We start from the raw sequence: 14,391 nt of genomic DNA, 5'->3' as shown, positions 1-14,391 counted from the left end.
ACTGTACTCCAGCCTGGGCAATAGAACGAGACTCTGTCTCAAAAAAAAAACAAACAAAAAACGCCAGGCATGGTGGCTCACGCCTGTAATCCCAGCACTTTAGGAGGCCGAGGCAGGCGGATCACGAGGTCAGGAGATTGAGTCCATCCTGGCTAACACGGTGAAACCCCGTCTCCACTAAAAATACAAAAAATTAGCCAGGCGTGATGGCGGGTGCCTGTAGTCCCAGCTACTTGGGAGGCTGAGGCAGGAGAATGGCGTGAACCTGGGAGGGGGAGCTTGCAGTGAGCTGAGATCGCGCCACTGCACTCCAGCCTGGGTGACAGAGCGAGACTCCCGTCTCAAAAAAAAAAAAAAAAAAAAAAGGCCGGGTGCAGTGGCTCATGCCTGTAATCCCAGCACTTTGGGAGGCCGAAGCGGGCAGATCACTTGAGGTCAGGAGTTTGAGAACAGCCTAGCCAACAGGGCAAAACTCCATCTTTACTAAAAATAAAAAAATTAGCAGGGTGTGGTGGCGCATGCCTGTAATCCCAGTTACTAGGGAGGCTGAGGCAGGAGAATTGCTTGAACCCAGGGGGCGGAGGTTGCAGTGAGCTGAGATTGGGCCATTGCATTCCAGCCTGGGAAGCAGAGTGAGACTCTGTCTCAAAAAAAAAAAAAAAAAAAAAAAAAATCCAAAGGGTTTGTAATGACAGTTGCATCATTCATTTACCTATTGAGTCAACAAAGTTATCAATTAAATAAGGTTGAGTGTGGTAGCTCACACCTATAACCCCAGTACTTTGAGAGGCCAATGTGGAAAAAGAGCTTGATGCCAGGAGTTCGAAAGCAGCCTGGGCAGTAAAGCAAGACCCCGTCTCTACAAAAATAAATAAATTAGCTGGCGTGATGGCACATGCCTATAGTCCCAGCTACTTGGAAGGCTGAGGCATATGTATCCCTTGAGGTGGGAGTTCAAGGCTGCAGTGGGCTGTGATCACGCCACTGCACTCCAACCTAAGCAACAGAATGGACTCTGTCTTTAAAATTTAAAAAAAAAGAAATAATTACGTTGACTTGTAAAAGATGAATCAATGGCTTTCAATACTTTAAATTTTTACTGTTATACTAAGGTAGTACAGGATTCTCATTTCACTAACAAAGATGTGCAAGAAATAAATTTTTCTTGTTCTCCTTTTCCCTCCTCTCTCCTTCCCCTCTTGAAAAAAAAAATCTTTTTTTATTTTTTTTTTCTCTGAGACAAGATATCATTCTGTCATCCAGGCTGGAGTGCAGTGGCATGATCTCAGCTTACTGCAGCCAGGGCTCAAGTGATCCTCCCAACTCAGCCTCTGAGTAGCTGGGACTACAGGCATGTACCACTATGCTTGGCCAATTTTTTTTTTTTAATTTTTGGTAGAGATGAGGTTTTGCCATATTGCCCAGGCTGGTCTCAAACTCCTGAGCTCAAGCGATCTTCCCACCTTGGCCTCCCAAGGTTCTGAGATTACAGGCAAGAGCCACCACACCTGCCAAGAAATTTTTTTTTCTAACTGAATATTATTTTATTTTTCTTTTCTTTTTTTAATTTTTTGAGAGTCTCACTCTGTCGCCCAGGCTGGAGTGCAATGGCGCAATCTCCGCTCACTGCAACCTCCGCCTCCCGGGTTCAAGCAATTCTCCTGCTTCAGCCTTCCAAGTAGCTGGGATTACAGGCGCCTACCACCACGTCCAGCTAATTTTTTGTGTTTTTAGTAGAGGTTGGGTTTTGCCGTGTTGGCCAGGCTGGTCTCGAACTCCAGACCTCAGGTGATTCACTCGCCTCAGCCTCCCGAAGTGCTGGGATTACAGGCGTGAGCCACCGCACCCGGCCGTTTTCTTTTCAAATAGGCAATACATGCACATGGCAAAATGAACACAGTAAACAGGGAAAAACATCTCTCTCCATCCCAACCCGAGAAAATGTTTCCTAAAACCAAATATTGGTCACGTTGGCACCTCCCTCACCTCTCTGTTGAGTCAAAGTCCAAGTTTCTCAGGAATAGCGGGGAGTTCTCCATGTCATGATCTACTGGCCAGCATCAGGTAAGATGGCGTCCATCCCATCTGTAGTTCGTTATCAGTTGCACAGCTCAAGGCTGCAGGATTCTCCTCCTGGTACCCTCTTGGCAACACTGCCCCACTGGTGGCTGCAGAATAAGGTGCCTAATGGTTCCCTGAGTACTGCAGGAGGCTGGGGGGCTGGGAGGGTGTCTTAACCTGTCCAGCCACTACCTCCTTTAGCAAACTGCTGGGGATGCGAGGCACTTTAGATTTCTCGGCTGGCTCTCCCATTCATCTGTGGCCCTGTGAGAAAGGTCGGGGCGGAGGTTTGCTCAGCCACTGGTTTACTGACTTTCACTCCCCAACTTGATTGAAAGCTGAGGATGCCTCATGGGAAACAGCAGTATCTAACCTCATTCTCTGAGAATATCTTCTCCCTCTTGCAATCTGAGATGTTTGCTTGATTAGAGAATACAGAGATGGACTCTGCATATTCTAACCATTCTATTATCTGTGTCTTAAACTTTAAGCCTCTACCCAATGTTTGGGCTTTTGAAATTTAAAACTCCTAAACTCTTGCATCTCAAGGTGTTGTCTTGGGAAACTCCCCTAAGGCAAGGAATGAAGAGGATTTAAGGGAGAAAAGCAGAAACTAGAGGGAAAAGAAGAGGAGAAAATTCAAGGGAATGTCCTTCTCCACCAAACCTGAAGTTGTTTGGCCTGCAGTCTGGTTATGATAGTTATAAATTTTCAAACATACAATTTAAAATAAAGCAATGCCTAAAAAAAATTAGATACAGTAATTAAAATAACTTATGAAATGTTCTGTTAGGGAGAAAAAAACATTTTCTTGAAAAAAAGTTTAAATAAAACATTTCATGCAAAATTTTTTTTTCACCAAGTTATAGCCATGACCACAGTGCAAAACTTGGCGAGAGCTTTCGTGTCAATATTTATGAGGTTTCATTCTCAGGCTCAAATGGCCAAAGCATTCCAGGGTCCTTTGTGTTTAAGCTAAATTGGAATTGAGCAAAATCACTTGCAATCACTTGACAAGTCATATAATCTAGATCTTTCCTTGTTTCCACTTGCTGACTTCAGTTAAACAAAATTATGGGAGACCATTGTTTTGGCCTGTGCTCCTGCACTAGGCCCCAAGAGAGCAGACCAACTAAAATGGAATCACTTCTTCTAAATGCCCCATCATCCAACTGAAACTTTAAGGGAGAAGATAGATCCCAAAGCAGATCGATTTTCCCTGAAATCAGGAGATTCCAGTCTACCTGAGTAAGCATCATAAGGAAGTCCTTTCTGCTTTAATGCTTTACAAAAAAGTAGCCTGGGCTGGGCGCGGCGGCTCACGCCTGTAATCCCAGCTCTTTGGGAGGTCAAGGCAGGCAGATCACCTGAGATGAGGAGTTCAAGACCAGCCTGACCAACACGATGAAACCCCATCTCTACTAAAAATACAAAACTTAGCCAGGCATGGTGGCACGTGCCTGTAATCCCAGCTACTTGGGAGGCTGAGACAGGAGAATCACTTGAACCCAGGAGGCGGAGGTTGTAGTGAGCCGAGATCACGCCACTGAAATCCAGCCTGGGCAACAAAAGCGAAACTCCGTCTAAAAAAAAAGAAGAAAAAAAAGTTGCCTGGGACGGGCGCGGTGGCTCACGCCTGTAATCCTAGCACTTTGGGAGGCTGAGGTGGGTGGATAACGAGGTCAGGATATCGAGACCATCCTAGCTAACAAGGTGAAACCCTGTCTCTACTAAAAATACAAAAAATTAGCCGGGTGTGGTGGCACACACCTGTAGTCTCAGCTACTCGGGAGGCTGAGGCAGGAGAATCGCTTGAACCCAGGAGGCGGAGGTTGCAGCGAGCCAAGATCACAACACTGCACTCCAGTGTGGGCAACAGTGCGAGACTCCGTCTCAAAAATAAAATAAAATAAAATAAAATAATTAGTGGGGCATAATGGCGCATGCCTGTAATCCCAGATACTTGGGAGGCTGAGACAGGAGAATCACTTGAACCCAGAAGACAGTGGTTGCAGTGAGCCAAGATCACCCCACTGCACTCCAGCCTGGGCGGCTGAACGAGACTCTGTCTCAAAAAAAAAAAAAAAAAAAAAAGTAGCCTGAAGTAACCTGTGTTAACCAATATGATTTTTTTCCCTATTGTTCTGTTTCCTTGTTTTCCATCCTACAAAACCCACTGTTCGGCCATTGCTCAGTGGGAGCTCTCATTCCGTTCTGTGGAAAGGAGGCTGACCTGACTCATGAATTGCGAATAATAGCTAATTAGATCTATGATAAAATTTGTTGTAATGTTGTCTTTTGACATTTCTGACCTTAGACAGAACTTACTTTACCTCCATACCTCACATTCCTCCCTCACTATCCTGCACTCAGCTCTCTCTTTTCCCTTTGGGCTGTGATTTTATTTATTTATTTATTTTTGAGATGGAGTCTTGCTCTGTTGCCCAGTCTGGAGTGCCGTGGAGTGATCTCGGCTCACTGCAACCTCTGCCTCCTGGGTTCAAGCGATTCTCCTGCCTCAGCTTCCTGAGTAGCTGGGATTACAGGCACGTGCCACCATGCCCAGCTAATTTTTGTATTTTTAGTAGAGATGGGGTTTCACCATGCTGGCCAGGCTGGTCTCGAACCCCTGACCTCGTGATCCACCCACCTCAGGCTCCCAAAGTGCTGGGATTACAGGCATGAGCCACTGCGCCCAGCCTGGGCTGTGATTTTAAAGCAAGCTCCTGGTCTCACTGCTCTTGTCAGCTCCCCTGGGCCAGTGTCCCCTGTCCTAGAGCTCAGGGTGGCTGCTGGAGGCACTGAAGCTACATGCTATGATTAATTTTTCCTGAGACAAGTTAATGTAAAATTTCTTCCAGTTGGCTGCCATCTAATGTGTCTCATTTTCCAGAGACAAGTTTTTGTTTTTGTTTTTGTTTTGAGACGGAGTCTCGCTCTGTCACCCAGGCTGGAGTGCCCTGGCACGATCTCGGCTCACTGCAAGCTCCGCCTCCCAGGTTCACGCCATTCTCCTGCCTCAGCCTCCCGAGTAGCTGGGACTACAGGCGCCCGCCACCACGCCCGGCTAATTTTTGGTATTTTTAGTAGAGTCAGGGTTTCACCGTGTCAGCCAGGATGGTCTCAATCTCCTGACCTCGTGATCCGCCCGCCTTGGCCTCCCAAAGTGCTGGGATTACAGGTGTGAGCCACCATGCCTGGCAAAGAATATTGGAATATTTTTATACTTATAGACATCTACCAAGTATTTCTCAGCATCTATATACTTACACAGATTAATCTGTGTGTGTGTGTGTGTGTGTGTGTGTATACATTTTACATGAATGGGATAATTCTAAACATGCTTGTCTATAATCTCTTCTTATACTTTAGTGTCACAGACATCTATTCATGTGATGTCTAAATATAGCATCATTATTTTTAGTGGCTTCACAGTGTTCCTTTTTACATAATTTTAATTTACTTAACCAATTTTCTTTGAAGGACTTTTATTTTACTCTTCTCCACTCCCTATTTGTGTAATTATTTCCTTAGGGTAAATTCCCTGAGGTGGGATGCCAGAATAAAGGACGTGCACACGTTACACTTGACAAAACATTGCTAAGCTGTCTTTGGGAAGCACATCAGACAGAACTAGGTCCAGTTGAATGAGACAACATCCAAAAGGGTGGCTTATACAGACAGGCATTTATGTAAAAAAAAGAGGCATCCTGAGGCTGGGCGCAGTGGCTCATGCCTGTAATCCCAGCACTTTAGGAGGCCAAGGCGGGCGGATCACGAGGTCAGGAGTTTAAGACCAGCCTGGCCAATATGGTGAAACCCCGTCTCCACTAAAAAATACAAAAATTAGCCGGGTGTGGTGGCCGGCGCCTGTAGTCCCAGCTACTAGGGAGGCTGAGGCAGGATAATCAGTTGAACTCGGGAGGCGAAGGCTGCAGTGAGCTGAGATCATGCCACTGCGCTCCAGCCTGGGCAACAGAATGAGACTTCGTCTCAAAAAAATAAAAAATAAAATAAAATAAAATAAAGAGGCAGTAGGCAGTCCATAACCCAGGGAACCAGGCCCCTTTCCATTTGGGTTTTCCGTCACTTTCAGAATTTGGCTGCTTTTGCGTGGTACCAGATAGCTGCTGAAGTCCTAGCCACAGAATCTGCATTCTAGACAGTAGGAAGGAGGAAGAGATGAAAAGGGTCCAACTCTCACAGACTCTTCTGTGTAGTCACAGTCACCCCTTCCACTGCCATTCCCTTGGCCAGAATTTAGTCATGTGGCTAACTGTAGCTGCAAGGGAGGATGAGAAATGAAGTCTTTTTTTTTTTTTTTTTTTCTCTAAAGCCCAAGTGTTCGGCTAAAAGTCAGATAATTGTTTACTAAGGAAAAGAGAAAATGGATATTGGGGGCAACTAATGGTTTCTGCCACAGGAAGAATGTACTAATTTACACTCCTTGGGACATCACACAGAGGAGGCCTTTTCCCATGCCTTTACCAACACTGTTTTTTCAGACTGTTCCTGCTCTAAAAGCAATTCGTTACTTACAATGAAAAATATTTAACCCAACCTCAAATAACTTGTGTAGATTAGAACACCAATATCAATGATGTACATTTCTCCCCAAAAGTAAAAAGAACATGTAAATGTGGGGACACAAGTGTTCCTCTGCCTTAACTTCTTAAATGTTTATTTTTAAAAACATAATTTTTTTTTTTTTTGTAGAGAAAGGGTCTTGTTATGTTACTTAGGCGGCTCTTGAACTCCTGGTCTCAATGAACCTTCTGTCTTGGCCTCCCAAAGTGCTGGGATTAATGGCGTGAGCCACCACACCCAGCCTGACTTCTAAATGTTGAAGCTCTGTCCTTAGTGACATCCCTCCTCTGTCTAGGTAATCTAATCCAAATGGTTTTCAGTGCTGCAGAGTCAAAATCTGTATCTTCACTCTTGATGTTGAATCCTACTAAATTATGCAGCTGCTTACTGTGCACACCCACCTGTAATCCACAGGGGCAGTTTATACTCAGCTATAAAAAACTGATCTCATCATCTTCCCTTTGAAACCTACCTAGTCCACTTCCTGTATTCCTTATTTTGGTGGCACTAGTTGAGTCATTCTAGACTTTCTTAGCCTCTATCATCACAAAATATCAACTCCATGACTAAATTCTATTGATTTCACTTCCTTAATATAACTTGACATTCAACTCCGTGGTACTTTAGAGGATCATGACAAAATCTAATAAGAAAGCTCTCTGCCTCCATGGGCTTAAACTGATCCAAGCAATCTTCTACACAGCAGCCAAAGGCTGCTTACTAAGATGCTGGTGTCGATGTGATCCCTTTTTCTTCCCCATGGCCCAAATCCTTGGGGTGGCATAGAAGGCCAAGGAGTGACCCCTGTCCATCTCTCCTTCAGCATCATCTCATACTAGCCACTGACTATGCCCTACATTTCAGCACATCACTGTACTTCCCAACTATAGTATCACAATTCACTGACTGCTAAAATGAATCCCTCCTGCCTAGAATTATTCCAGCTCCCTACTTCTTTACTCTGTAAAATATAACTTTTGAGATTCATATCATATAGTCACAACCTACATAAAACCCTTCCTGCCTTACTTCCTTGCTTTGTGCCATTTTTGTATTCTATACTTGCTTCTTATTGTTATTTATTTACTTTTGAGACAGAGTTTCGCTCTTGTTGTCCAGGCTGGAGTGCAATGGTGTGATCTCGGCTCACTGCAACCTCCGCCTCCCGGGTTCAAGTGATTCTCCTGCCTCAGCCTCCCAAGTAGCTGAGATTACAGGCACCTGCCACCATGCCCAGCTAATTTTTTGTATTTTTAGTAGAGACGGGATTTCACCATGTTGGCCAGGCTGGTCTGGAACTCCTGACCTTAGGTGATCCACTAGCCTCAGCCTCCCAAAGTGCTAGGATTATAGGCATGAGCCACAGCGCCTGACTTCTATACTTGCTTTTAATCCAACAGCAAATAGGACTAATATTTATTAATGCAACAAATATGTACTGAGTTCACACTGTGCTTGGCATTGTACTAAAAGCTGGATTCATGACCATGTGCACGCTGAACATTAGGCTCTTACAGTGTTTAGTCTACACAGCTTACATTAGAAGAGGCTAATTTCCATTCACCATCTCTTGTTTGCTAGAAAAGAAATTGTCTCTCCTCTATCAGTCTTTAAGAGATGCTAAGAAACTGATGTTGCCTGTTGCTGATCATGTCGAGATATTTTCTTCAATGTCTTGTTGCTTATTCAAGTTTTTACCTTTGCTTTTATGACTCCATGTTGTTGGCTGTCACTATCCAGAGTTAACTGGATGTTTAAGACACAAAAATTTGGCTTATTATTTCCTAAGCTTTCTCCTCAAACTCACTCCTGAAAAAGGCCAAGTTAAGGGGATTCTTGGCAGAGATGCAGGCAGATCTAACAGGATGAATGACTAGGCAAAGATTGGGGAAAGCGTGTTCCAAGTGGAGGAGTAGCATAAGCAAAGGCTGAATGAAGGATAGAGGTGACAATGGGCGAGTTGAAAAGATAATTTTTACAAGGGGGTAGGACGAGCATAAACTATGCTGCAGAGGCTTAGCTCACAGCACACCTTAAACACAGCAGTGCATCAAGACCTGGCTTGTATCCACCTGGATCATACATGTCCCATGGAAGTACAGTCCTATGGTCTCAGGTACCTGCTTCCGCTTCCTTCCCTCCACCACAACCCCCTGGGGCCGCAATGCAAAGTTCTTACTCCTGTTTTACTTCCTTTTCATCCTCCCAATTACCAGTTTTGTCTTTTTTTTTTTTTTTAGATGGAGTTTCGCTCTCGTTACCCAGGCTGGAGTACAATGGCGTAATCTCAGCTCATTGCAACCTCCGCCTCCCGGGTTCAAGGGACTCTCCTGCCTCAGCCTCCAAAGTAGCTGGGATTACAGGCATGCGCCAACATGCCTGGCTAATTTTGTATTTTTCGTAGAGACAGGGTTTCCCCATGTTGGCCAGGCTGGTCTCAAACTCCTGAACTCAGATGATCCGCCTGCCTCAGCCTCCCAAAGTGCTGGGATTACAGGCATGAGCCACCGCGCCTGGCTTCCAGTTTCATCTTTTAATATCTATCCCAAACAAGAATATTTCTGAACTGAAAAATCTTAAGGATAGAGAAGAACACAGAAGGAAATCCAGGTACACTAAATTTTGCACAAATTAAGGGAGAAATTCATGATTTAGGTCAGGTGTGGTGGGTCATGCCTGTAATCCCAGCACTGTGGGAAGCCAAGGCGGGTGGATCACCTGAGGTCGGGAGTTTGAGACCAGCCTGGCCAACATGGTGAAATGCGTCTCTATCAAAAATACAAAAATTAGCCAGGCGTGGTGGCGGGCACCTGTACTCCCAGCTACTCGGGAGGCAAAGGCAGGAGAACTGCTTGAACCTGGGAGGTGGAGGTTGCAGTGAGCCGAGATTGCGCCACTGCACTCCAGCCTGGGTGACAGAGGCAGATTCCAGCTAAAACAAAGAACAAACAAACAAACAAAAAAACAGAAATTCATGATTTAAAAGAGAGGGTCAATGTGCATTTCAGAGTGGTCTAAAAGGCCTTGGTATATTCATAACTATCATGCTAAATGGGTAGTGTTGGTTATGAATGACTTACAAACTCTCCTTTACCTCACTGCTGTCTTCCTGTCTTCCTTCCCCCACTCTACTCCCAATCTGTGGCCCAATATTGTTTACCGCTTCACATCTAAAACAGAATAGTCATAAATCATATTTACCTTAAATTCTTTCTTCAATTAATTTTCTCTTTACAAAATCCAAAGATCTTTAGCTGTCTAAACCTATTTCAAACTGAAGTTTGCAAATCCCTAAATCCTTAAAGTTTATTTTCTAAATAAACCTAACTAAATTATTTATTAGTTCACACAAAAATATCAGTTTTGGGGCTGGGTGTGGTGGCTCACGCCTGTAATCCCAGCACTTTGGGAGTCCGAGGTGGGTGGATCACGAGGTCAGGAGATTGAGACCATCCTGGCTAACATGGTGAAACCCCGTCTCTACTAAAAATACAAAAAAATTAGCCGGGCGTGGTGGTGGGCGCCTGTAGTCCCAGCTACTCGGGAGGCTGAAGCAGGAGAATGGTATGAACCCAGGAGGCGGAGCTTGCAGTGAGCCAAGATGGCGCCACCACACTCCAGCCTGGGCGACAGAGCGTGACTCCGTCTCAAAAAAAAAAAAAAAAAAGAAAAAGAAAAAAAATACCAGTTTTGCTAGCCACTAACTATTGAAAATTTACTTTTCTAAATTTAAAGTAATAACAAAGTCTACACTTTTGGGTACTAATAAAAGAATTTTTTGCCTTAAGCCATTCATTTGATTTTCTCATGTTTAAAGGGGTGATACTATCTTCCTAGCTGGAATGCCGTAATATTTATTAAACAACTGTAAAGTCATAAATGAAACTGTTAAATAAATCCAAGTGTTTAATGCGGAATGTAAACTTGTCTAGGCTGTCTACACAAATCTCTCCTTTGTTTGCTAGCTTTATTTTACCTTAGGTTTCATTTCAATTCCTCAAATAGTGCTGACTCCTAAAATACAGAATATAGAAGTGGCAGTCTTTGAGAAGGGTGGTGTATTAGCCTGTTCTTGCATTGCTATAAAGAACTACCTGAACCTGGGTAATTTATAAAGAAAAGAGGCTTTAACTGATTCACAGTTCCACAGGCTGTACAGGAAGCATGGCTGGGGAGGCCTCTGGAAACTTAACAATCATGATGGAAGGTGAAGGGGAAGCTGGCCCCGTCTTACGTGGCCAGAGGAGGAAGACAGAGAGAAGGGGGAGGTGCTGCACACTTTTAAACAACCAGATCTCATGAGAACTCACTCACTATCACAACAACAGCAAGAGGGAAGTCCGCCCCCATGATCTAATCACCTCCCACCAAGCCCCTCCTCCAACACTGGGATTACAATTTGAACTGAGATGGGGGCAAGGACACAAATCCAAACCATATTTGGGGGAAGAATCTCATTCAGCAAACAGACACTGCTACTCTGTCTTAGGCATGGGATTCAATATCTAATCACTTCAGGGAGTTTTGAGGAATGGATCTGGGGAGATGTCTACATCAGTGGTTTGTCCAGGTTCAAACACACACATGGTCACAGCACTTCCAGCAAGGTTGCCCACGGGCCAGGGCTCCTGACAGCCTCTCACATTTCCAATCATGTGCTTTTTGAGGCTACTGGTGGTTTTGGTTTGATTTTTTTTTTTTAATTTGATAACCACAGCCACCATGATTTATGAACTCCAAACATCTATTAACTTGGCCTTGCACAGCCTTATTTATAGTGGAAAGACTCAGCTTCACACTGCCCGTCCCACAGCCCCATTTCAAGGGCTGACTTGAGCACACTTTGTTCTGCAAGTGACATCTGGCCTGCTACTCCAGCCACTGCTGATTGGACCAGGGTGGCCACCTGACCTGGACCAGTTAGGACATTTTCAGTTACAGGTGATGGAAAACCCTCTTAACCTGATTTGAGCAAAGAAAAGAGGCCTATTGACTTACCTAGCGGTAATGCCTAGCTGGCTGTGGAGGCTCAAACAGTGCCACAGAGGCCCCACCTCTCTTTCACCTATTGGCTCCTGTCCCTCCACATTGGCTGCATCTGTAGGTAGGTTGTCTCTGGTGCTGACAGCATGACTGCTGGACCCTGGTTAACATCACTACAACCAAGTTCAGGGATAAAGGAAGTGCGCCTTTCTTAAGCATCTCATTGGCTTGGATTGGGGAGTGGACCCATCTCTGCATTACTAGACACTGAGGATGGTGGATCCATATGAGACTATTTGGACCATACAAAATAAGGGTGAGGGAGGCATGGCTTTCCTGTGGAAAACCAGGGCACTGTAACCACAAGAAGATGGACAGAGGCGGGTGGTAAAAACATCAGCTCCTACCACATGATCCAAGGATGGGCAATAGACCGGCTTGACTGTGGGAAAAAGCTCCCAAACAGGGCAGAGTGGCTGAATGAGAGCGTCACATCCTCTCGTGAGAGGAAATGGAACTTGAGGCTCAGAACTGAGCCTTTGGTATGGGCAGCAAAAGTCGAGGGACGCGTAAACCCAGAGACGTGGTGGGAGACAAGTGGCCTAGCCTGTGGTGGAGCAGCAAGTAGGCACTGGTACACTTCTGCCCCTGTGGAGCTAGGCTGGAGCTGTCCTGGACCCCCCCAGGGCCTTCCCACCTGATGGTCCTGGAGCCCCTGGAAGCTGCTAGGCCTCAAGTCTATGATGCTTGGCTCAGCAGCCATGACTTCTAATCATGGTGATCTCCATGAATTTCTCAGGATACAGACTCACTCCAACAGGTAACCAGAATGAGGAACCCAAAGGTCCTAACCAGCATTTTTATGCAGGGTAGGTAAAGACACACAAGAAGGAAAAGAAATAAAAGGAAACAGAATGAAGAACTGAAGAGAAAGGGAAAGGGAAGACAGGACAGAGGGTGGTACACAGCGGAATGGCAGAATGCACTGCTATGCCATGTGCTCTTGGGAGCTCCAGCACAGGGTTGTGGTGCGTGGGGGAAGGACGCTGCCTCCTATTACCCATTTTACCTCTCACCCTTGATTTTATTTCTAAGTAGCCAGACAAAGAGGCCCAGCCCTATTCCACCTCCCTTTAAAGAAACCTCCTAAAAGTCCTTAGTTAATACTTAGCTTCAAGGTCACACTTAGCTGCCAGGGAGGTTAGGACACGCAGTCTTACTGGGAAGCATTAAGCCCATCTAAATTTTTTTTTTTTCTTTTTAGACTGAGCCTTGCTCTGTCACCCAGGCTGGAGTGCAGTGGCATAATCTCAGCTGACTGCAACCTCCGCCTCCTGGGTTCAAGCAATTCTCCTGCCTTGGCCTCCTGAGTAGCTGGGATTATAGGCATGCGCCACCACACCCGGCCAATTTTTGTATTTTAGTAGAGACAGGGTTTCGCCATGTTGGCCAAGCTGGTCTTGAGCTCATGACCTCAAGTGATCCACCTGCCTCGGCCTCCCAAAGTGCTGGGATTGCAGGTGTGAGCTACCGCGCCAGGCCTGAAAATTTGGGTTCTCTACTAAAAGGTGAGATTAATTGTGGAGAGGCAACTTGCAGCCTCGAGTGAGAGTAACAAATCCCCTCCTATCTCCCCTTCCCCACTGTCATGTCCCTTCTCTATTTTTTTTTTTTTCGCCTCTCCTGGCCAGCAGTTTGCATAAACTTCAGAATGGCCACTTCGAGCTTCCTCTGGACCTATTTCAGTTCCCTGAAGCTACTCCCCACAGCTATATTCTTCTGTGTCTTAGTCCCCATTTTCTTTTTTGTTGTTGTTTTTTTTGAGACGGAGTCTCGCTCTGTTGCCCAGGCTGGAGTGCAGTGGCACTATCTTGGCTCACTGCAGCTTCTGCCTCCTGGGTTCAAGCAATTCTCCTGCCTCAGCCTCCCGAGTACCTGGGACTACAGGCGTGTGCCACCACACCCAGCTAATTTTTTGTATTTTTAGTAGACACGGGGTTTCACCGTGTTAGCCAGGATGGTCTCGATCTCCTGACCTCGTGATCTGCCTGCCTCGGCCTCCCAAAGTGCTGGAATTACAGGCGTGAGCCACCGTGCCCGGCTTCGTCCCCATTTTCAAGAAGGGGCTCCTCTTTCCACACCAGGCCACCCAAGTCCTATGGCTGCTGGTCAGTCGGTAGATTCACTGCGCTAGAGTCAGGTGTCTATCTTTGGTCCAGTGGCAAGCAGTAGGCCAGGGGGATTGTGCCAAACAGATGGTGATTTATCTCAGGTGGAGGCTTGGACAGGTGTGAAACGAGCAACACACCCAGGCAACTCTATTTTCCCACTAACATATTTAGGCGAATCAAGTAGGTGGGCCACAAATAGCTTTACACACTCAGGACTGTCATAACAAAGGACCACAAATGGGGTGGCTTAAAACAACACGAATTTATTTCTCACGATTCTGGGGATAGAAGTCCAAAATCGCGGTGTTACTAAGGCCATGCTCCTTCCTTCTGAAGGGGAAGAAGTCTCTTCTTAGCTTCTGCTAGTTTGCTGAAAATCTTTGGCAATTTTTGCTGCATCCCTCCAATCTCTGCCTTCATCATCACATGGCTTTCTGTGTGTCTGTCTTCACATAAGGACACCAGTAGTATTGGATAAGGGGCCCATGCTACTTTAGCAGGATCTCATTTTAACTAATTTCATCTGCAATGACCTTGTTTCTAAATAAGGTCACAGTCTGTGGTACTCAGCGTTAGGACTTCCAACTAT

The 14,391-nt window shown here is 45.5% G+C and overlaps 1 protein-coding gene across 2 annotated transcripts in view, besides 2 other annotated features; it reads right to left on the bottom strand.

The window, feature by feature from the left end:
* Positions 1 to 14,391, bottom strand: part of FBXO36 (F-box protein 36) — a 90,617-nt gene that overhangs the window by 58,212 nt on the left and 18,014 nt on the right. The window lies entirely within an intron of this gene.
* Positions 1,081 to 1,945: an enhancer, noted in NCBI's record as "H3K27ac hESC enhancer chr2:230817679-230818543 (GRCh37/hg19 assembly coordinates)". NCBI's record gives its function as "activates a minimal SCP1, AML or CMV promoter by ChIP-STARR-seq in primed H9 embryonic stem cells {active_cell/tissue: H9 hESC(primed)}" and the evidence as "EXISTENCE:reporter gene assay evidence [ECO:0000049][PMID:30033119]".
* Positions 10,582 to 11,082: an enhancer, noted in NCBI's record as "H3K27ac hESC enhancer chr2:230808542-230809042 (GRCh37/hg19 assembly coordinates)". NCBI's record gives its function as "activates a minimal SCP1, AML or CMV promoter by ChIP-STARR-seq in primed H9 embryonic stem cells {active_cell/tissue: H9 hESC(primed)}" and the evidence as "EXISTENCE:reporter gene assay evidence [ECO:0000049][PMID:30033119]".

The sequence above is a fragment of the Homo sapiens genome, chromosome 2, assembly GCF_000001405.40.
Source record: "Homo sapiens chromosome 2, GRCh38.p14 Primary Assembly".
Taxonomy (NCBI): Eukaryota; Metazoa; Chordata; class Mammalia; order Primates; family Hominidae; genus Homo; species Homo sapiens.
This window is presented reverse-complemented; position numbering and strand designations above follow the sequence as displayed.